Below are 23,018 nucleotides of genomic sequence, written 5' to 3'. Positions count from 1 at the left end.
GCTGGTCTTGAACTCCTGACCTCGTGATCCACCCGCCTCAGCCACCCAAAGTGCTGGGATTACAGGCGTGAGCCACTGCGCTCAGCGGTAGTTTTTAAATGTTTGCATTCCTGGAATAAACTCCATTTTGTTCATAATTTATTATACACAGAAATTTTAATCTACTTATTCTCAGGGGAAAATACTCTTTTTAAATATCAAAAACATTCTTTTTAATGGTTAAAGATGACAAAGTTGAATATTTCTACCATACCACCATGCCCAGCCTATCTTTGCTTTTAATCTTGGCACCCGTATCAACTAGATGAGTGACTTTAGTCACTTAATTGCTCCAGAGCACAGTGTCCTCATCAGTAACATAAGGACATTCAGCTGGATGACTTAAGGGATCCTTCCAGTATAAAAATTGTCTCTGTGTAATATTTGAAAATAATGGCTTCTGGTTTCTTCTATGCCCTATTGCCAACATATATATCAAAATTGGACTAGTATACATGAACATGTGTTATAAATACTACTTTTTAAAATTTCAGTGATACATAATTTCCATACCTATTGCACTCTGTGGATGTTTTATAAAGTTGTTACTTATGTTGCTGAGTAAAATGTGAAGTTTTACCAAAGAGGGTTGTACATTTATGAACAAAATATAATTCAAACATTATAATAGGTTTTTAAAAATCTTTGGCTATTTTCTATGTAGGAGAGTACTTTATTCTTCCTACATTTTTGTAGTATTATCACTTCAATGTATAGTACTGCTGAAATGGGCTACCTGTAGTGATATATAAAATAAATAGAACAATATCAGACCTTTAGAAGTGTGGCTACAGTTTATTCACTGCTTTACTCAGCAGACCATTAAGTACCTACTATGGCCCAGCACCTCTGCTAGATGCGGAGATGAAAGGACAGCGACTGTCTTTACCAGGAGCTCTTCGCTTTTGAAGAGATAGGTAAATAAATGATGACAAAACAGTGTAAAAAGTATTTGGTGAATGTAGTGGAGAGGGGTCATCAGGAACTGCTTCTTAGATATTGACATCCCTAAGTAGGAATTGGCGATGTAAAGAGGCAGGAAACACCAGACCAGAAGAATTGCACATGAAAAAACACGGGGGCTAGAGAAAACACAGCACATTCAATGAACTACAAGTAGTTTAGTGAAGTTACAGCGAAGGCTGAACTTTGCTTTGCTTTTGGTAAAACGGGGATTGGCTAATGGGGAGACCTGAAGGGCAGAGGCCATGACATGGCAAGCCTTGTATACCATGTTAAGAAGTCTTAATTTTATTCTGAAAACATTGGGGAAATTTTAAAGCAAGGGAATAGGCAATGAGAATTATTCTTCAGATTTGACAAGTGAGTTAATGGTAAAATTGGCAAGAGTTGTTTCAATAGGAGAATAATGCAAACTTTTAAATATAGTAAAGGTAATAATAAATGAGCATTAATTTACTATATCTAGTTCTGCAGTTTCTGTTCACACACAAACCTAGTTCTATCTATGCATGATTGGTCTGACAGGAATGAGAGGATGTAGGGGATGTTGGCATTCCTACTTCTTGGAGTAGTGAGAGTGTGATCACAGTGGAAATCTTAACCACTCGACAGTGGTGCTATCCATGGAGAGTAGATAATTCATTGAATTATTCCCGTTTTAATTAATCCCCCAATTATCCACCCAGACTGATTGAAGCAATGAATATATCAGTTGATTGTGGTGTAACAGACCATGTTCCAAAACTTAGTGGCATAAAACAATGATTTCTTTGCTCATGATTCTGTTGAGTTGGCAGTTCTGGCATGGCTCAGCTGGAATAGCCACTTTGGCTCCTTGAGGTATCAGCTGGTCTTACATCTGAGTTTGCAGTCAGTTAGCAGATTAACTGAGGGCTATTGGGTGGGGCTGTTGGCCAGCCTCAGTTCTCATCCACATGGCTTCTCATCTTTCAGTAGGCTAGACTCAGCTTCTTTACATGATAGTGGAAACATTCCAAGAGGGTGCAGAAGCTGCAAGAAGTCACATAACAACATGTTGATCACATTGTATTGGTCAAAGCTAGTCACAAGTTGAGCTCAGATTTAAGGGATGGGGAAATAGACTCTATCACTTGATAGGAGGAACTGCAATTAATTTGTGGCTGTGTTTAAGCTACCATGGTCTCTTCTCTGACCAAAATTATTATTATTCCTCCTACACTCACTCCCCTCTACGCCTCTTGAAGTATATTATTCCATCATGACCTCAGGGTTGAATTGATGATCTCATGGTATGCATCAGTTCTGGATACACATGAGGCTTTCACATGTAGTAATTTTGTTGCAGCTCTTCTTGATTGAGAAACTTGTGAATTAGACAGGTTATCTGCTCCGCATATGCCCTATATACAATAATGAGATAGGAGTAAGTTAATTGTAGTAAGAAGAGGGACAGGAGAGGAACATAGCCATCTCTCGGCCATAGCAGTCCTGAAATCCAGTCAGCACATGTTGTCATGGCCCCTGTTCTAGGGTCTGGGAATATAATTATCTTCTGTGGGAGTGGTTCCCTAATCCATGTTTCTCCAGGACTCTTGGTTCCACCCTATGAGGTGTCTTCTCTTTTCTATAACAATTAGCCCATAATATACAGCTTTCTCACCCTGCTTCCTGCCTGTTGAAGAGTGGGCGCCCAGAGGCCTTTTTTCATTTTGAGCTGTCTCTATCCTATCCCTTTTAGGCCAAGCTGTTAGTATTTTTTAATAACCAACTTTCTTTAAAATGTTGTGAGTTTCCTGTGAATCTTAGTGGGGTTCACTCTATGCCTCAAAAGCCACATCTATAATAGCCTTTGAGACAGCCCTCTCTGCTTTGTGCAGAACAATCCCCTGAAGATTCCTAGTAGTACTTTTGTCTAGGTGATAGGGTGTACTAGGCACCACCTAAGTCTTTCTGGAGTCTTAACAAAGAGTATTATGGCCATTTAATAACCACTCTTTGCCTGCAGGGGAGGTGGGGCAGAATGGGAGCAGGCTGAGCAAACTACGGCCTACAGGCCAATCCTGTTGCCATTGACTTGTTTTGTACAATGTACAAGCTAAGAATAGTTTTTGCATTTTTAAAGGGTTGTTAAACAGAAGAATATGCAACAGAGACCATATATGACTCACCAAGTCTAAAATATTTACTATCTGGTTCTTTATATAAAAAGGTTGCAATTCCTGGTCTAATTCAAGAAAAACTGTTAGCATAATGTTTATCACTGGGAAAAACAGTACATATAACTATCCTGACTCATCAAAAACATTTGATAAAAGGTCTAAAAACAAATTAAGCTTCGAATAGAGGATTTCTTTCATATACAAAGATTAGAAGAACCAATTTTTTTTTTCTTTTTCGAGGCAGGGTCTCAGAAAAAAAGACTCTGTCATGCAGGCTGGAGGGCATTGGCACAATCTCAGCCCTCTGCAACCTCTGCCTCCCAGGCGCAAGCAATCCTCCCACCTCAGCCTCCCAAATAGCTGTGATTACAGGCATGTATCACTATGCCCAGCTAATTTTTGTATTTTTTGTACAGATGGGGTTTCACCGTGTTGCCCAGACTGTTTTCAAGCTCCTGAGCTCAAGCAACCACCCCCCTTGGCCTCCCAAAGTGCTGGGATTGTAGGCATGAGCCACCATGCTCAGATGCCAATAATATTTTTAATAAGAAGTTCTACGTGGGACCAATACAAGCATAATTCTTTATTACTATTTCCATTTGATATTATGTTTTAAATACATGTAGTGGTAAAGTGGAATATGAAAGCTAAATGTGGGAAAGATGGAGAAATAAAAATACTATTTTTTAAAGTAATGTGAACAGAAAAATCCAAGAACTCATCCAGAAAACTTTTCAACAAAGTTGTAGAGTATAAGGCAAAGATGTTTGTTTTTAGCTGCAGCTATACAGCTAGAAAAGAAAAGGAAAGAGAAAGATCCTATTTGTAGTACTAATGTAGAAACTTTCATATATGTGTATATACACATATATTAGAAATAATTATAAAATTCTGATAGAAGAAATAAAGGACTTAAATAGTCCATACACATATATTCCTGCTTATGCATGGAAAATCAAATTTAATTAGCATGTCAAGATACAGATTTAATGTAATATCAGAAATACCTATTAGGCTGGATGTGGTGGTTCACCCCTGTAATCCTAGCACTTTGAGAGGCCAAGGCAGACAGATTGCTTGAGCCCAGGAGTTCAAGGCCAGCCTAGGCAACATGGCAAAACCCCATCTCTACAAAAAAATACAAAAATCAACCAGGTGTGGTGGCACGTGCCTGTAGTCCCAGCTACTTGGGAGGCTGGGGCGGGAGGATCGCCTGAGCCTGGGCAGTGGAGGTTGCAGTGAGCCATGATTGTGCCACTGAAGTCCAGCTTGGGTAACAGAGTGAAACCCTGTCTCAAAAAAAAAAAAGAAAGAAAAGAAAAGAAATACCTATTAGCTTTCCATCACATTCTGGATAGAGTCCAAGTTCCTTATCATGTCATCCAGAAGTCCTTGAACCCTAGCCATCTGGTGCCCATCTGCCTGTGCAGCTTCCTAGACATCAGTCCGGTTTGTGATCTCAGCCCTTTCCCCTTTGACTCACTTGCCCATTTACTCCCATCCCACCACTTCTACTTCTGAATGGCTAGGTTAGGCAATTAGTTTAAAACCCAGTCTAAACAATAGTTATGAAAAGGGCCAGTGCCTGGCACCTTGTTGGTACTTGAAATATGTTTCTTGAATGGAAAAATACCTCAATGAAAGTTACTTTACTGTTTGTTGTTTCTATGGGGAATTTTATAAAGGTGTAACACAGTTATTTTCCCTGTAGAAAGGAAGACATAAAGATGTAAGTATTGGCTGGGCGCGGTGGCTCACGCCTGTAATCCCAGCACTTTGGGAGGCTGAGGCTGGCGGATCACGAGGTCAGGAGATCGAGACCATCCTGGCTAACACGGTGATACCCCATCTCTACTAAAATTACGAAAAGATTAGCTGGGCGTGGTGGCAGGCACTTGTAATCCCAGCTACTTGGGAGGCTGAGGCAGGAGAATGGTGTGAACCTGGGAGGCAGAGCTTGCAGTGAGCCGAGATCACGCCACTGCACTCCAGCTGGGTGGCAGAGTGAGACTCCATCTCAAAACAAAACAAAATAAAAGTATTAAATAAGAGTGGTATGTTATTGGCTGATTTCTCTTGATTGGGTGGTCTAGAAATAGCAGGGAATGGACCTGTTCATGGCATATATTGTCTAATATGGCACATTGGGAACTTCCCACTTGGATGTCATGAGGGAACACCTCATTCCCCTGGATTCTGTGACTATTGTGTGTACAAAGGACCTTGGGAGATAAAACTTGGGAGATAAGATCTTGGTTTGAAATAGAGGGCTGCAAGTTCTAATTTGCCAGGGTGCCCACAAATTAAGAGTAAAGGATTTTATCACTTCTAAAAGGACAGAATTACAAATGTGGTTTCTTTGGGACCAGAGAGGATAAATCTGGGAATAAATGATACCCAGATATTAATAAAAAAGTAATGCACCCAGAGGATTGAAGAGAACTTCCCCAATGATGAATTGTGTTTGAAATTGTGGTAATGAAATGTGAAGGAAAGACTCGTTTCCCCCAGTGCTATATTGGGCATCAGGGTGGTGTGGGATGCCCTCTTCAGGACTACAATTCCAGCAGAGGGGCCAAAACCCAAACATCTGCACTTGCCTCATTCTCATTCTTTCAAGGCCCATGGTTTGCAAGAACTAACTCACTTGGTGAAATGGGGGCAACAGGAATGTTCTTCCTTTCTCTTGAGGGGGAGAACAGCAATCTTGGGTTCGTGTGGGAGGAGAAGCTCCACAGAAGAGGTGTTGCTGGGTCTGAGCCTTGAAGGTAGGTGAGAAGCCCTCATCTGAGTGGGAAGGACCTTGTGTCATGCAGAGCTCTGCCAGGAGTCAGGAATGCCTGTTTACGCAGCAGTGGTGATTTGCCAGTATGTGGAGCAAGGGCTGAATTATCAGTACAGCGTGTCCGTAGCACTTTCTCAGACCCTTGAGGTTTCTGCAAGCTCCATTAGAATGCTATTAGTTCACCTGCCAAAGATAAAGACTCAGATTAGGAGGACTCTACCGGAAAGATATGCCAAAAATTGGTTTATCTTTTTTTTTTTTAAAAGACCATGTACATTTTTATTGGCATCTTTAAAAATGTTGAGGTATACTGAGTATGAGCTATACATGGAAATGTTATCTGTACATCTTTAGTTTTATTATTTGGAAGTAAAGCACATGGAAATGGGGCCCTTTTATATGTTTTATTTTGCATCTAAAATTTAAAGTCATTCATGCAGTGAATGGTTATTGAATACCCAACTCCATGTTAGGTGTTGGGTGGCAGAAAAGGGGGTGATTGCTGAGGACTAGGGCCTGAGCCCTGGAGTCCATGCCCTGAGAGAAGACTGAGAAGTATGTTTGGGAAAGTTTCCCATCATATTTAGAGATAAACCTGAACTCCTTTATGTGGTCCACAAGGGCCCATTAGATCTGACACTGCCTACCTGTCCAACCTACACCCTCCAGCCTTGTCTCCTAGCCCTCTCCCTCTTGGTATGTATGTTTCAGCCACTCTCCTTCTTTCTTTTTTAAAAAAAGTTGTAATATATAATTCCTAAGTTAAAATAATCATGAAAATAATCATGAAATGATTAAAGTTAATTATAATCATGAAGTGACAAAAATAATCATGAAATGACAAATTTCTGGAAAGATGTACATTGCAAAATTGACATGTGTGTATAAATCTCAAAAAATCATCACAGAAAATATTGTAAAACTTACGTATTTTCTCCTTCAAGGGCTTAAGGGACAATTCTATTGCCAGTGGATTCCTTCAAACTCTTAATGAATAGATCATTTTTGTGGTAACAAATTTTTTTTTTTACTTTTATTTTAGGTTCAGGGGTGCATTTGCAGGTTTGTTATATAGGTAGATTGCATGTCATGGGGTTTGGTGTACAGACTATTTCATCACCCAGGTAATAAGCATGGTACCCAATCGATAGTTTTTTGATCCTCACCCTTCTCCCACCCTCCATCCTGAAAGAGGCCCCAGTGGCTGTTCCCTTCTTTGTGTCCATGTGTACCCAAGGTTTAGCTCCCACTTATAAAGTGAGAACATGCAGTATTTGGTTTCTGTTTCTGTGTTAGTTCACCTAGGATAATGACCTCAGCGTCCATCCATATTGCTACAAAGGACATGATCTCATTCTTTTTTGTGGCTGCACAGTATTTCATGATGTATATGTGCCACATTTTCTTTATCCAGTCTACCGTTGATGGGTATTTAGGTTGATTTGTTATTGTGAATAGTGCTGTGGTGAACATAAGCACACGTTTGTCTTTATGGTAGAATGGTTTATATTCCTTTGGGTATATACCCAATAATGGGATTGCTGGGTTGAATGGTAGTTCTGTTTTAAGTTCTTTGGGAAATTGCCAATTTGCTTTCCACAATAGCTGAACTAACTTACGTTCCCACCAGCGTTGTATAAGTGTTCTCTTTTCTCCACAACCTCACCAGCATGTTTTTTTTTTCTTTTTTTCATTTTTAATAGCCATCCTGACTGGTGTGAGATGGTATCTCATTGTGGTTTTGATTTGCATTTCTCTAATTGGTAGTGATGTTGAGCATTTTTTCATATGCTTGTTGGCGCATGTATGTCTTCTTTTGAAAAGTGTCTGTTCGTGTCCTTTGGCCGCTTTTTAATAGGGCCATTTGTCTTTTACTTATAAAGTTGTTGAAGTTCATTATAGATTCTGTATATTAGACCTTTGTCAGATACATGGTTTGCAAATATTTTCTCCCACTCTGTAGGCTGTTTACTCTGTTGATAGTTTCCTTTGCTGTGCAGAAGCTCTTTAATTAAGTCCCATTTGTCAATTTTTGTTTTCATTGTGATTGCTTTTGGCATCCTTCGTCATGAAACCTTTGCCAGGGCCTATGTCCAGGATGGTATTTCTTAGGTTATATTCCAGATGGTTATAGGTGTGCAGCTTTATTTCTGGGCTCTTTATTCTGTTCCATCGGTCTCTGTGTCTGTTTTTGTACCAGTACTGTGCTGCTTTAGTTACTGTAGCCTCATAGAGTAGTTTGAAGTCAAGTAATGTGATGCCTCTAGCTTTGTTCTTTTTGTATAGGATTGCTTTGGCTATTCAGAGTCTTTTCTTATTCCATATGAATTTTAGAATAGCTTTTTCTAATTCTTTGAAGAATGTCATTGGTAGTTTGGAATAGCATTGAATCTGTAAATTGCTTTGGGCAGTATGGCTTTTTTTTTTTATTTTTATTTTTTATTTATTTATTTTTTTTTTTGACGGAGTCTTTCTCTGTCACCCAGGCTGGAGTGCAGTGGTGTGATCTCGGCTCACTGCAACCTCCGCCTCTCAGGTTCAAGTGATTCTCCTGCCTCAGCTCCCGAGTAGCTGGGACTACAGGCACATGGCATCATGCCTGGCTAATTTTTTGTATTTTTAGTAGAGTTGGAGTTTCACCATGTTTGCCAGGATGGTCTCAATCGCCTGACCTTGTGATCTACCTGCCTTGGCCTCCCAAAGTGCTGGGATTACAGGTGTGAGCCACCATGCCCAGCCTTTTTTTTTTTTTTTTTTTTTTTTTTTTTTTGAGATGGAGTCTCACTTTGTTGCCAGGCTGGAGTGCAGTGGTGTGATCTTGGCTCACTGCATCTTCCTCCTCCCGGGTTCAAGTGATTCTTCTGCCTCAACCTCCTGAGTGGCTAGGAATACAGGCATGCACCCCCACGCCCAGCTAATTTTTGTATTTTTAGTAGAGATGGGGTTTCACCAGTTGGCCGGGATGGTCTCGATCTCTTGACCTTGTGATCTGCCCGCCTCAGCCTCCCAAAGTGTTGGGATTACAGGCGTGAGCCACCGCGCCCGGCCCCATTTTAACAATATTGTTTCTTTCTATTCATGAATGTGGAATGTTTCTCCATTTGTTTGTGTCATCTCTGATTTCTTTCAGCAATGTTTTGTAATTCTCATTGTAGAAATCTTTCACCTTCCTGGTTAGCTGTATTCCTAGGTATTTTATTCTTTCTGTGACTGTTGTGAATGAGATTGTGTTCTTGGTTTGCCCCTCAGCTTGGGTGTTGTCGATGTATGGAAATGCCACTGATTTCTGTACATTGATTTTGTAGCCTAAGACTTTGCTGAAGTTATTTATCAGATCTAGGAGCTTTTGAGCTGTCTTGCTTTCTATGAAAAAGCCAAACCCATTCCCAGCACTTCATATACTTGCTAGGAGCCCTTTTCCTCCAAATCTTTTCATGGATTCCTTCTTCTCATCAATTAAGTATCTGCTCAAATAGCCCATCCTAAATAGCCTGTCTAAAATGTTACCCTTTTTGTCACTCTGTAATCTCTTTCCTAGATAATTTCCTTCATAGCACAACATTATATCTGAAATTTTCTTATTTTTACCCATTATTTTCTGTCTCCTGTGCTAGGAAGTAGGCTTCATGAGGATATGGATATTGTGTTCACTACAGCATTTGAAGTACCTGACACAGTGCCTGGCCTGTTTAGTAGGGGGATCAAGAAATATTTGTTTAACGGATAAAAGAGGAAAATGGGCATTCAGACAGTAACACTTCAGCAGGGTGTTTGCTGGAATGGAAGCAAATCAGGAACATGAAAGCTAAGTTTACTAAGGGAAGCAGGTAGGGTGTTAGAGAAGTCTCCCCACAGAGGAACTAAAAACCTAGAGAATGAGTTGCAGTTTGGCAGATGGGAGGATGGGGATGGAGAATTGCAGAAACAGTGTATGTGAGGAAGACCTATTGGGAGCACAGAGACCAGTAGTTTTCAGGGGAAACCTTTACCAGCTAGATGTATGCGGAGGGCTCATGTGTGGCAGAGGGAGCTGACACTGGACAGCTCAACAGGAATCATTGCCGTGAAGGGTTTTCTATACCTAAAAAGGGGTTTAGATTTTACTAAACCCCTTTTTTGAAGAATTCTGAGCCTTTTCACAACCAGGACACCAGAAGGAGTAGTCTGAATGTCCTGTCTTTACTTTCTCACTTCCTTTGACTCCTCAGCCTATTGTAATTGGAGTTGCAGTCAAATCACTCCATTAAAGCCGTTAGTTAAGGGGCATTCCAGTTACTAAATGCTTTTCGGCCATCATGTCACACAGTGAAAGGGCAACAGCTTTGGCCCTGCTGACTCCTTTCTTTCCTGAACTGGTCTCTTCCTTGGTTTCTCTGGTTGTACTTCTCTTTCTTGGGGCTATTTTTCAATAGAAGCCTTTTCAGCCTTTTCTTTAGCATTGCCCATCTTTAAGTCTTTAAAGTCCGGAGTTTCATTCTTGATGGTCTTCTATTGTCATTCTATATTCTCACCCTGGGAAAATTCACATATCTTCTTGCCTTCCACCCCAATTACTCCTAAATCTTGTTATTTACTTCATATTTTTTTAAGTTCCAGATCTATATATTTACTGTCTACTAAAAAGCTGTCTTCATTAGGATAGTGCATAGACGTCTCAGACTCCATATGTCTGAAAAGTGAATCCATCATCTTTATCCCAACCTAATACCACTTGTAAATTTCCTGTCTTGGTGAATACATTATCAGCTACCTAGATGCTGAAACCAGTAACCTGTGGGTCCTTTTAGATCTTTTCTTTTCTCCCTTATGTGCCATAGATAATCAACTGCAAGTTATTTTAGTTCTACCTTACAGTTTCTCAAATATGTCTCCTTTTCCCTTCTGTTGTTGGAGTACTTCAGAAAGTCATCATCTCTCTCATCTGGATTATTGTTACCCTGCCTCTAACACTGCTTCCCCTTCCAACTAATTCTGTTCAGCAAATCTGATTGTGTCATCATGCGACCCCCTCTCCCACTGATTGGTGTAAGGCGAGAACTCAAACTTGATTTGTCGTTAAATCCTTTACTACCCATGTCCCAGGTGTCCCAGGTCTAGCTCTCTAGCTCCCATTCTCCTTCCATACTTCTGATAATGACTGCTCCTTTTTCTGAACTCCTAAACTGAATGCTTCTACCACCCCTGGATACTTACTCATACTACATGCCTTCTGCTGTTCTTTAACTGTTTATGTGTATGTATTTTATGGACCAAATGAGGGGACCTTCTCCAGGGCTTGGACCATATCCTCCAGAAAGGGTAAGACAGTATTTTTGTGGACATAGTATGCAGTCAATAAATATTTATTGGATTACATTCACTAATAAGTCTTTCTCTCCTTATATATTATTTATTAATAATGTCAATTTCTCTTTTAAAATCGTCTCTGAGTTTTTCATTTAACTGCATGAAGGCTTCACATTTTTCTAGTAACTTTGTAGCATTGCTTTGCTAATTAATAGGGCTTAACTTTTCATTTTCACCTAGCAAATCTGTTTCTTCATAGGTAAGGAATTCTTGCAATGTGCATGGTGGTAATAACAGCTATTTTTGGAAATATCAGCAGGAGTGTGCTAAATACTGTCAAATACTCTTAGATTCTTCTATCATTAGAAAGGCTTATAAACTTAAAAGTATCACAGCTTTAACTGGATTGAAGATAGGTTAATTTGATTCTTAGCTTTTCAAATGCAGACTTTCAAGAAAAAGGATTTTTTGGTTCAGTTTAAGACAAGACATTAGGAACTGATGTGTCTTATCGCCTTAGAACATGAAGGATTCTTTTGTTACTGACATAGGCATTGACATGTAGAGAAGAACTCCTGACTCTTCTTCTGTCTCTCCTTCCACTGGTATGGAAGATACCTGTCCAAGAAGAAAAGGCAACAGGTATGCTTTTTCCCTTTATCATATCACTTGTGTTATCAAAATTTCATAGAAAAGTTACTTCTGCCTGAATGTTTGATTCTGATTCAGATTCAGAACACTATATGTTATTGTGATTTATTCATACTAAATATGAAAAATTATTTAGGCAAACACATTTTTCCTTCAATAATACAAAAACCATGGTGCTTCTTGGGGGAAGTACTTGAATGTACTGATGATTAGAAAATGTATAAAGAAGCAGAAACACTTATCAGAAGGAGTGAGTCTAGGTGTGCAGCATAACATCAGAAAAATGGATAGTGAAAAGTTGGAAGTGAAAAGTCTGAATAAAGAAATTAAAGTTTCTTTGCTTATTTTAAAGACTGCTTTCTATTACCAGTATTCTATAAGTGACTTTTGCAGTATTTGTTTTAGCTTAGTTTTTCTAGTGTTGCCTTTAAAGTATAATTTTTTTTTTTTTTTTTTAGGCAGAGTCTCACTCTGTCACCCAGGTTGGAGGGCAGTGGAGTGATCTCGGCTCACTGCAACCTCAGCCTCCCGAGTTCAAGCAATTCTTGTGCCTCAGCCTCCTGAGTAGATGGGATTACAGTCGTGCACCACCATGCCAGACTAATTTTTGCATTTTAGTACATACAGATGGGATTTCACCATGTTGGCCAGGCTGGTCTCAAACTCCTGACCTCAAGTAATCTGCCCACCACAGCCTCCCAAAGTGCTGGGATTACAGGCATGAGCCACCGTGCCCAGCCTAAAGGATATATTTAATATTTTGTTTCAAGCTTGGGTAGAATTATTCTATGTAAGGTCGATAGATATTTTTAATTTATGATTTTGAAGAAATCATATGTCTATAAAGTACATGAAACTTTAAATGTTTCATTGGAGAGATTAATAGTTTTCCTCTTGACCCTTTCTTGTGACATGTTTGTGAGATGTTTGAAGATCTCTCAGGTTAAAAAAAAAATTATTGTATTTTAATTCCTGTATTTTTAGTGAATTTCATGGAGCTTTTTTTAAGGAGGTATCTAAGGTTTTGTAATACTGTTTTTCTGCTTATTTATTGATTCACTAACTCTCTGCTTTTATTTTTTTCTGAGTTTGCAGAATTCACAAATTGTTAATCACTTAAGAAATCTGATTAATGCTCTTTGGGGGAAGTTGTCTTCATTGTCTGCATCTTTTGCTTGGGTGGAATTTGTCAGACTCCTTTTAATTTCTCCTCTTCCCATCTGGTTTGCTTTCCCTGTCTTAGTAAAGCACAGATTTTTTTATTTACAGATTTTAATTTATTCACTCTAAATTACAGCTACTTTTTTATATAGCTCTTACTACATACTGCAAAGAGAAAGACTGATCTAATTATCTTTTTAGTTAAAGGGAGAATTCATTCATTTCCCCTGTGAAGTATTTACTGAGTGTTGACCATACGCCAGGCCCTATCTAGGCACCGGGGATGAAATAATAGTGTCTATACCTGGTGCCTAGTTCAGTGCTGAAACATTTGAGAAATAATTTGAATAAAGAATTATTTAAACCTCAGTTTTAGAGAACATTTGGCATATAGTGTATGATTTTGAAATAATTTTAGAAAAATCTTAAAGTAGTTAAATTATATCAGGTCTATGAATACTATTTTTGAGAATATAATACATCCTTACATTTTAATTAGTGGTACTATGGGAAGAGATTTGTAAATGGTGTGAACAACAGCACTAAATACCAGATAATCTACAGCATCTCTTATGTTGAAGTTAGAATATAATATATAGTTTTAAATCAGATTTACTTTCTTAACTCTGTTCTCTTTTGTTTGTTGTTGTTGTTTTGAGACAGAGTCTCACTCTGTCACCTGGGCTGGAGTGCAGTGGCACGATCTCATCTCACTGCAACCTCTGCCTCCCAGGTTCAAGAGATTCTCCTGCCTCAGGCTCCCAAGTAGCTGGGATTACAGGCGTGCACCACCACATCTGACTAATTTTTGTATTTTTACTAGAGACAGGGTTTCACCGTGTTGGCCAGGCTGGTCTCAAACTCTTGACCTCAAGTGATCCCACCCGCCTCAGTCTCCCAAAGTGCTGGGATTACAGGCATAAGCCACCTCACCCAGCCTCTCTTTTGTTGTTTTAAAAATCAGTTTGTATCCTTTGAAGTAATGTCAGCTAGTGTTTAGAGTAAGTATAGGTGTGCCTCTGTTTTGTTGTTTTAAAAATCAATTTGTATCCTTTGAACTAATGTCAGCTAGTGTTTAGAGTAAGGATAAGTGTGAGAGGAGGTAACCCAGAGATATGACATAAATGAAGGAAATCAGCCCTGCAGCAAAATACATTGAGGATAAACTCCTTTAGTGGGTTTAAGATAAATAAGAGGGCTGTCACCTTAAAATTGAGTTTTAAAACATATTGAGGTATTCTAAGCCTTCTTTTTTCATTCCATTAGATTTTAACCTACCGCTCTCAGCAGATATAATCCTGACCAAAGAAAAGAACTCAAGTTCACAAAGATCCACTCAGGAAAAATTACATTTAGAAGGAAGTGCCCTGTCTAGTCAGGTTTCTGCAAAAGTAAATGTTTTTCGAAAAAGCAGACGACAGCGTAAAATTACCCATCGCTATTCTGTAAGAGATGCAAGAAAGACACAGCTCTCCACCTCAGATTCAGAAGCCAATTCAGATGAAAAAGGCATAGCAATGAATAAGCATAGAAGGCCCCATCTGCTGCATCATTTTTTAACATCGTTTCCTAAACAAGACCACCCCAAAGCTAAACTTGACCGCTTAGCAACCAAAGAACAGACTCCTCCAGATGCTATGGCTTTGGAAAATTCCAGAGAGATTATTCCAAGACAGGGGTCAAACACTGACATTTTAAGTGAGCCAGCTGCCTTGTCTGTTATCAGTAACATGAACAATTCTCCATTTGACTTATGTCATGTTTTGTTATCTTTATTAGAAAAAGTTTGTAAGTTTGACGTTACCTTGAATCATAATTCTCCTTTAGCAGCCAGTGTAGTGCCCACACTAACTGAATTCCTAGCAGGCTTTGGGGACTGCTGCAGTCTGAGCGACAACTTGGAGAGTCGAGTAGTTTCTGCAGGTTGGACCGAAGAACCGGTGGCTTTGATTCAAAGGATGCTCTTTCGAACAGTGTTGCATCTTCTGTCAGTAGATGTTAGTACTGCAGAGATGATGCCAGAAAATCTTAGGAAAAATTTAACTGAATTGCTTAGAGCAGCTTTAAAAATTAGAATATGCCTAGAAAAGCAGCCTGACCCTTTTGCACCAAGACAAAAGAAAACACTGCAGGAGGTTCAGGAAGATTTTGTGTTTTCAAAGTATCGTCATAGAGCCCTTCTTTTACCTGAGCTTTTGGAAGGAGTTCTTCAGATTCTGATCTGTTGTCTTCAAAGTGCAGCTTCAAATCCCTTCTACTTCAGTCAAGCCATGGATTTGGTTCAAGAATTCATTCAGCATCATGGATTTAATTTATTTGAAACAGCAGTTCTTCAAATGGAATGGCTGGTTTTAAGAGATGGAGTTCCTCCCGAGGCCTCAGAGCATTTGAAAGCCCTAATAAATAGTGTGATGAAAATAATGAGCACTGTCAAAAAAGTGAAATCAGAGCAACTTCATCATTCGATGTGTACAAGAAAAAGGCACAGACGATGTGAATATTCTCATTTTATGCATCATCACCGAGATCTCTCAGGTCTTCTGGTTTCGGCTTTTAAAAACCAGGTTTCCAAAAACCCATTTGAAGAGACTGCAGATGGAGATGTTTATTATCCTGAGCGGTGCTGTTGCATTGCAGTGTGTGCCCATCAGTGCTTGCGCTTACTACAGCAGGCTTCCTTGAGCAGCACTTGTGTCCAGATCCTATCGGGTGTTCATAACATTGGAATATGCTGTTGTATGGATCCCAAATCTGTAATCATTCCTTTGCTCCATGCTTTTAAATTGCCAGCACTGAAAAATTTTCAGCAGCATATATTGAATATCCTTAACAAACTTATTTTGGATCAGTTAGGAGGAGCAGAGATATCACCAAAAATTAAAAAAGCAGCTTGTAATATTTGTACTGTTGACTCTGACCAACTAGCCCAATTAGAAGAGACACTGCAGGGAAACTTATGTGATGCTGAACTCTCCTCAAGTTTATCCAGTCCTTCTTACAGATTTCAAGGGATCCTGCCCAGCAGTGGATCTGAAGATTTGTTGTGGAAATGGGATGCTTTAAAGGCTTATCAGAACTTTGTTTTTGAAGAAGACAGATTACATAGTATACAGATTGCAAATCACATTTGCAATTTAATCCAGAAAGGCAATATAGTTGTTCAGTGGAAATTATATAATTACATATTTAATCCTGTGCTCCAAAGAGGAGTTGAATTAGCACATCATTGTCAACACCTAAGCGTTACTTCAGCTCAAAGTCATGTATGTAGCCATCATAACCAGTGCTTGCCTCAGGACGTGCTTCAGATTTATGTAAAAACTCTGCCTATCCTGCTTAAATCCAGGTTTGTATGTGTGTGGGTGGCGGCGGGGGCGGGGGTTGTTGAGCATGTCTAGATCTTTTTCATTGGATGCTTTCAAGTGAGTGATAAATTGTATGCATTTAAACTTCTAACACTGATATCTCCAGGGCTTTGGCAGCAGTGTGATCGTATTTACTCTTTATTCTTTCCTAGGATTTAATTTCAATTTGTCAACAAAAAATGTTCTCCTTCCATGTCAGATTTGTTTTAACCATTTGTTTATGTATGTATGCATTTTTTACTGAGCTGTTTATAGAGAAGAGGATACAGCCATTGATTTTAATTTCTCAACAAAAAGAAAAGTTTTAGATATACAACTGAGAAAAACGTAGATGAAACACAGATATCCAAGAGCAGGGCAAGTTTAATTACTTTATATTTCCTTGATAGAATATTATTGGCCATTGAAAATGTTTACAAAGATCATATTGGAATATGAGAAAATGATTATAATATCTTATGGGTAAAATATAAACAATTAAAATAGTGTTCACTTATTTACAACTATGTAAAATATGTATTACATGTAAAATAATACATAAAATGATTATTGAGGCAGAGGCACTAATGGGATTATTAATTTTAAAATATTATATTTACATTTATAACCTCTGCAATATATGTAGAAAAATTAGAAAATATAGATAAACAAAAATAAGAATATTAAAATTACTTTTAATCCTATCAGTGAGTTTTCCAGACTTTGTGATTGCCAAATCTGGTGCATTTAAAAATAATTTTATAAACGAATGGGTAGACTGGTCTTTCAAATTAATGCATATACCATTTTAGAAACTTATACAAAAATAACCTATCAATATCTTCGTGTGTGGCATTTTTTGGTCAATCTTAGCACAACTACTTTAAAACTATTATTGATGTTAAATCAATGCCTTACAGTCATTTAAAAATTTTTCTGACATTTTGGCATTGTTTAACTAGAACTGACTGATTTGAAAGTTTTGTAACTCTTTGGCGTATTCGTGGACAACCTGAATCTTTGTGATGAAAGGGCTGAGAATCACCTAGCTGGCTTATATTAAAGTTATTACTAGGATTCCAATGATCTAGACACAAGTCTCACCTGAGACAGAGCTGAAAAACTTTTATAATATTTGTACCATTGACTGTTCAATTAGCCCAATTAGAAGGGAAATTCATGTGATGCTGAGCCTTCCGTAGATTTTCAGCTCTAGTGTGATTCTTTCCCTTCATAAGGTATAGATTTAAAGTAAACAAAAATTCCCAAGTGAACCATCAGGCGGACAAACTAATGAACAAACACGTGCTTGCCTGCCCTCAGGGTGTCCACCTCAGGTGTGGTGGTGGCTGTGGTGTTCAGAATTTATATAGAATTTGCCATTTGGAGAAAAATATTCTTCCCTGAATTGCTTCATTTAATGTGGGACAGGCAATCTTTTCTTTTTAGATACTGCTGGAGCCATATATACAAATGTTTGAAGAAGGATATCAGAGTAATTAGAAAGTAACTTGAGGTCCTAATTATATCTAACTAAGAACTTTAGCCTGATAATTGATGAATAAAATTAGGTAGTGGTTAGTATATCCCACATGCAATAGCGATATATTAAATATTATATGTACCTATTTATAAATGATGTTTCTTTATTTAAACCTTTTTACATGCTTTTTTTCTTTCACAGGGTAATAAGAGATTTGTTTTTGAGTTGTAATGGAGTAAGTCAAATAATCGAATTAAATTGCTTAAATGGTATTCGAAGTCATTCTCTAAAAGCATTTGAAACTCTGATAATCAGCCTAGGGGAGCAACAGAAAGATGCCTCAGTTCCAGATATTGATGGGATAGACATTGAACAGAAGGAGTTGTCCTCTGTACATGTGGGTACTTCTTTTCATCATCAGCAAGCTTATTCAGATTCTCCTCAGAGTCTCAGCAAATTTTATGCTGGCCTCAAAGAAGCTTATCCAAAGAGACGGAAGACTGTTAACCAAGATGTTCATATCAACACAATAAACCTATTCCTCTGTGTGGCTTTTTTATGCGTAAGTAAAGAAGCAGAGTCTGACAGGGAGTCGGCCAATGACTCAGAAGATACTTCTGGCTATGACAGCACAGCCAGCGAGCCTTTAAGTCATATGCTGCCATGTATATCTCTCGAGAGCCTTGTCTTGCCTTCTCCTGAACATATGCACCAAGCAGCAGACATTTGGTCTATGTGTCGTTGGATCTACATGTTGAGTTCAGTGTTCCAGAAACAGTTTTATAGGCTTGGTGGTTTCCGAGTATGCCATAAGTTAATATTTATGATAATACAGAAACTGTTCAGAAGTCACAAAGAGGAGCAAGGAAAAAAGGAGGGAGATACAAGTGTAAATGAAAACCAGGATTTAAACAGAATTTCTCAACCTAAGAGAACTATGAAGGAAGATTTATTATCTTTGGCTATAAAAAGTGACCCCATACCATCAGAACTAGGTAGTCTAAAAAAGAGTGCTGACAGTTTAGGTAAATTAGAGTTACAGCATATTTCTTCCATAAATGTGGAAGAAGTTTCAGCTACTGAAGCCGCTCCCGAGGAAGCAAAGCTATTTACAAGTCAAGAAAGTGAGACCTCACTTCAAAGTATACGACTTTTGGAAGCCCTTCTGGCCATTTGTCTTCATGGTGCCAGAACTAGTCAACAGAAGATGGAATTGGAGTTACCTAATCAGGTAATACCTTGTCCTTAGTCCAACTCTTATGTAATATATATACATATATATACACACACACATATATATATAAAAAATGTAATATGTATTACATAATATATGTAATATATATATTATTGTGTTATATATAACATATAATATATTACTTTTATATATGTGTATATATTATGTTTTATGTATATATACACATACACACACACACATTTTATAAGTGTCAGATGAATAATAATGGATATTGTGTTTCAAAGTTGAAAGATCTAAATTTTTGTGTGATACTGTTGGCTGCCCTGCCCAGAACTCCTTTACCAAACTGATCACCCATTCACCATCTGCGCATCAGCACCCATCTTCCAGGAATCACCCTTGACCGATGGAAGATGCCTGGGAAGGATGCTCATAGCTAATGCTGATAGATGTGGCTCTAAGAAGTGGGGACAATCATTGTGGGGCACTTCAGGCTCCAGAGCTTCCCAGGAAATGAGGCTGGGACGAGACTTCTCCTAAAACCACATCTTTGTCCAGATTCTTCTCCTAACCTCTTCTGCTTTACCTCACATTCTTACAAGTTTTCTCCTGAGATCATTTCTCAACTAAAAAGGAATCTAGGGACCTGGAATATGGCAGACCTCTTCTGTCCTCACTAACTTACACCTAACTGTTCAGTCAGCCAACAGGCTCTTCCTACTTCAGTTCCAGCCTCCATGTTGCCTTATCTCTAAAAAATCCTGATGCTTCCACACTGAATTTCCACAATTGAAATTCACAAGCTTTAACACAGCACACAAAACTCTTCAGTCTTGCTTTGACTTCTTCGCTTAGCTTCATTTCTTGCCATTCTTTACCATGCTGCAATGAAAACCAAATAAGATGAACTAAGTATTTTATCAATAAAAATGTTATTAATTTTAACAGGATGTTTGTATAGAGCTAGATATTTATATAGTCATTTTGCTTTCATATCAACTGCAAATAAATGGATTAGCTTTATACTTAAGTAAATATTTATTATTTATTTTTTCATCATTTAGTTTTTTAAAATGGTTATTAATATTCTTAGTCTCTTTTATTTTACCTTAGAACTTGTCTGTGGAAAGTATATTATTTGAAATGAGGGACCATCTTTCCCAGTCAAAGGTGATTGAAACACAACTAGCAAAGCCTTTATTTGATGCCCTGCTTCGAGTTGCCCTCGGGAATTATTCAGCAGATTTTGAACATAATGATGCTATGACTGAGAAGGTATGAATAACAACATATAGTTGTGTTCTTTGGGTATGACCAGCAGAGGCGGAAGTGTGGGATGACACTAGGACGCTGATGAATGTCATTAGAGCATATGGACTAGGACTTGGTCAGATGAGTTCAGTGGATCTTATCTCCTCGTGATGGATATGTGATGGGATGGACAGTATTTTGTCATTGCCCTGTCTTATACATAACAGGAGAGTGATATGATAAGCTTTTCCTTATCTAATCTGGAAATTTACTGAGAATTACTTCGAGTTAAGACAGAAATATATTACTTGATTTGGTATATTTTACATATACCTGATAGTGTATTAAATGCTAATTCAGGGATGGTGGTGATTTACCTATCCTATCTGGTTCTTTGGTGGTATAGCTAATATTTCCAGAACTCTCTACTCACATTAATTTTAAATCATTCAACATAAAAATGACTAGTGCCTACATAGAAAATAGCAGTCACAGTGTTTTAGTTGTTTAACATTTTTTCCTAAAACAACTGTTGTAATTTTCTTTCCTAAAATTATGTGGTACATAATTGGCTTGTTTCCCTCTCATTTTATGTTTATTTTACCTTTAGTTGCCATCTGTCCTTTATTTTTTATATAACTTCTCCTTTTAGCTCCTTGATCTAGCCATATATATAATGTTTTATAAGGTTTTGAAATAACATTTTATGTTACTATTTGCCATAACTTAAAAACATGCTGAAATAGCTATGAATACGTTCATCATATTACTGAATTAATTGACTAACTGTAAAATGTTAAAATACCTACTTTATTCTACCTTTTATTGTTGTTACAATGATGAAGTATTCTGAGCTTCTTTAAGTGAAAATGTTTTCTAAAATGAAGGTATTAGTGGAATTTTTATAAGAAAAGGAAAATTTCTTTCTTACACAGGAAGTTAGTACTGGAACTCTTGACTTCTGAGATGCTTGTTATGTAGACAGTTGCATTCTGAGATCTTTTAATTAATCCCTTTGAAAAAAATGTCTTGTCTGCTCTAGTTACCTAACTTATAAGGCATTTATAAAAATCCTTATGAAAAAATCTTTTTTATTAACAAATGTGCACAAATAATATATATTAGTATTAAATTGTATGAAGTAAAATTTTACCACATTGTGGTTTTTTGTCATTTCCAATTGTATAACTAGAATGAAATTTCTTACATAGATTTATTTATTAAACTGAAATGACCTATAACTTACTTTGTTAGAAACCCCCTTTTTGAGGTATTAAGTTGTCTGAAAGGATCTGGGAAATTTTGCTGAGTGAATTTCATAATTTATAATGATTCATATTGTTTACTAAGTTTTTTTCTTCAAGAAAATATTGAAACTGTCCTTAACATGACTTTTGAGTAATAAGTATTCTATTACTAAAAACAAGCAAATGTTACAACCTTTGAATTACACTGATTTATAGAGTCATCAATCTGCAGAAGAATTGTCATCCCAGCCTGGTGATTTTTCAGAAGAAGCTGAGGATTCTCAGTGTTGTAGTTTTAAACTTTTAGTTGAAGAAGAAGGTTACGAAGCAGATAGTGAAAGCAATCCTGAAGATGGCGAAACCCAGGATGATGGTAAAATATCATTGAAGTGCTTGTAATTAGATCTGCAAGCCAGATCATTAAATAGCAAAATGGTTCATAATAATACCACTTTAGAATTTTGTATTGCCTTACAGTTTAACAAGTGTGTTGCATAATCTTTTTATTGATCTTCCCAACAGTCTGGCATTCATATATGCAACAATGTGATATAGTTTGTTATCACAAACATCATCTGAGTGGTTAAGAACATGGAGTGAAGGACAGAGTCCCCAATTTCATGTATATTCTAGTGTGAAAGACAATAAATACCAGAAATAGATAATAAAATAGAAATCGATAAACTGGGTGATGTCGTATTAGTAACTGGGTGGTGAGGGAAGTCCTTTCTGAAGAGGCAATGTTTACATTGAGGACTAAATGAAAACAAGCTAGGCAGACAAACACTGGCAGGAAGAGCATTCAGGCAGTTTGTTATAAAGAATACATAATACAGGAATGCAGACACCTGTCTGTGACAGCCAAGCATAGATTTCTTCTTAGTTTACCACAGCTCAATTTGTCTTTAGGATGGAACTATATTGCCTATGATCCTTTCCTCCCTTGTCTTTGGACTTAAAATGAGTAGAATGGAAAAGATGGGTTGATTAGAGCCAAGAGACTTCTGGCAAGACTCCATCTTTTTATATGCTGACCTTGTGAGTGTCCCAGTACTGCTAGTTTTTTTTTTTTTTTTTTTTTTTTTTTGAAATGGAGTCTTGCTCTGTCGCCCAGGCTAGAGTGCAGTGGCGTGATCTCGACTCACTGCAACCTCCATCTCCCAGGTTCAAGCTATTCTTCTACCTCTGCCTCCCAAGTAGCTAGGATTTCAGGAGCCCGCCACCATGCCCAGCTAATTGTTATATTTTTAGTAGAGATGGGGTTTCACCATGTTGCCCAGGCTAGTCTCGAACTCCTGACTTCGTGATCCACCCGCCTCGGCCTCCCAAAGTGCTGGGATTACAGGCGTGAGCCACCGCACCCAGCCACTGCTAGTCTTCACTGAGTTCTCAGTAGGATATCTTCCTCACAGTCAGTTTTCTCGCTCTCATCTAGTGAATGGGAATAATCACTGATATCTTACTTAAAGGGC

The 23,018-nt window shown here is 37.9% G+C and overlaps 1 protein-coding gene across 16 annotated transcripts in view, besides 2 other annotated features; it reads left to right on the top strand.

The window, feature by feature from the left end:
• LYST (lysosomal trafficking regulator) overlaps positions 1-23,018 on the top strand; it is a 222,683-nt gene that overhangs the window by 58,887 nt on the left and 140,778 nt on the right. For 14 of the 16 annotated variants that reach the window (XM_011544032.2, NM_001301365.1, XM_011544031.2 and 11 more), the window contains exons 4-8: positions 11,766-11,856; positions 14,293-16,372; positions 18,055-19,084; positions 20,162-20,323; positions 21,763-21,919. In XM_011544032.2, coding sequence (XP_011542334.1) covers positions 11,766-11,856; positions 14,293-16,372; positions 18,055-19,084; positions 20,162-20,323; positions 21,763-21,919 — 3,520 coding nt within the window. Of the gene's footprint in view, positions 1-11,765; positions 11,857-14,292; positions 16,749-18,054; positions 19,085-20,161; positions 20,324-21,762; positions 21,920-23,018 lie in introns of those variants that run through there. The other 2 variants (XM_047443034.1, XM_011544036.3) reach the window with 1 other exon arrangement.
• Positions 4,404-4,698: a silencer, noted in NCBI's record as "tiled region #11090; HepG2 Repressive DNase matched - State 9:DNaseU, and K562 Repressive non-DNase unmatched - State 22:ReprW". NCBI's record gives its function as "represses a minimal TATA promoter and a strong SV40 promoter by Sharpr-MPRA in HepG2 and K562 cells {active_cell/tissue: HepG2 | K562}" and the evidence as "EXISTENCE:reporter gene assay evidence [ECO:0000049][PMID:27701403]".
• Positions 10,145-10,646: an enhancer, noted in NCBI's record as "NANOG hESC enhancer chr1:235977481-235977982 (GRCh37/hg19 assembly coordinates)". NCBI's record gives its function as "activates a minimal SCP1, AML or CMV promoter by ChIP-STARR-seq in naive H9 embryonic stem cells {active_cell/tissue: H9 hESC(naive)}" and the evidence as "EXISTENCE:reporter gene assay evidence [ECO:0000049][PMID:30033119]".

Source organism: Homo sapiens, chromosome 1 (genome assembly GCF_000001405.40).
Source record: "Homo sapiens chromosome 1, GRCh38.p14 Primary Assembly".
Lineage (NCBI taxonomy): Eukaryota > Metazoa > Chordata > Mammalia > Primates > Hominidae > Homo > Homo sapiens.
Note: the sequence above shows the minus strand (reverse complement) of the source record. Positions and strands in the feature narration are given on the sequence as shown.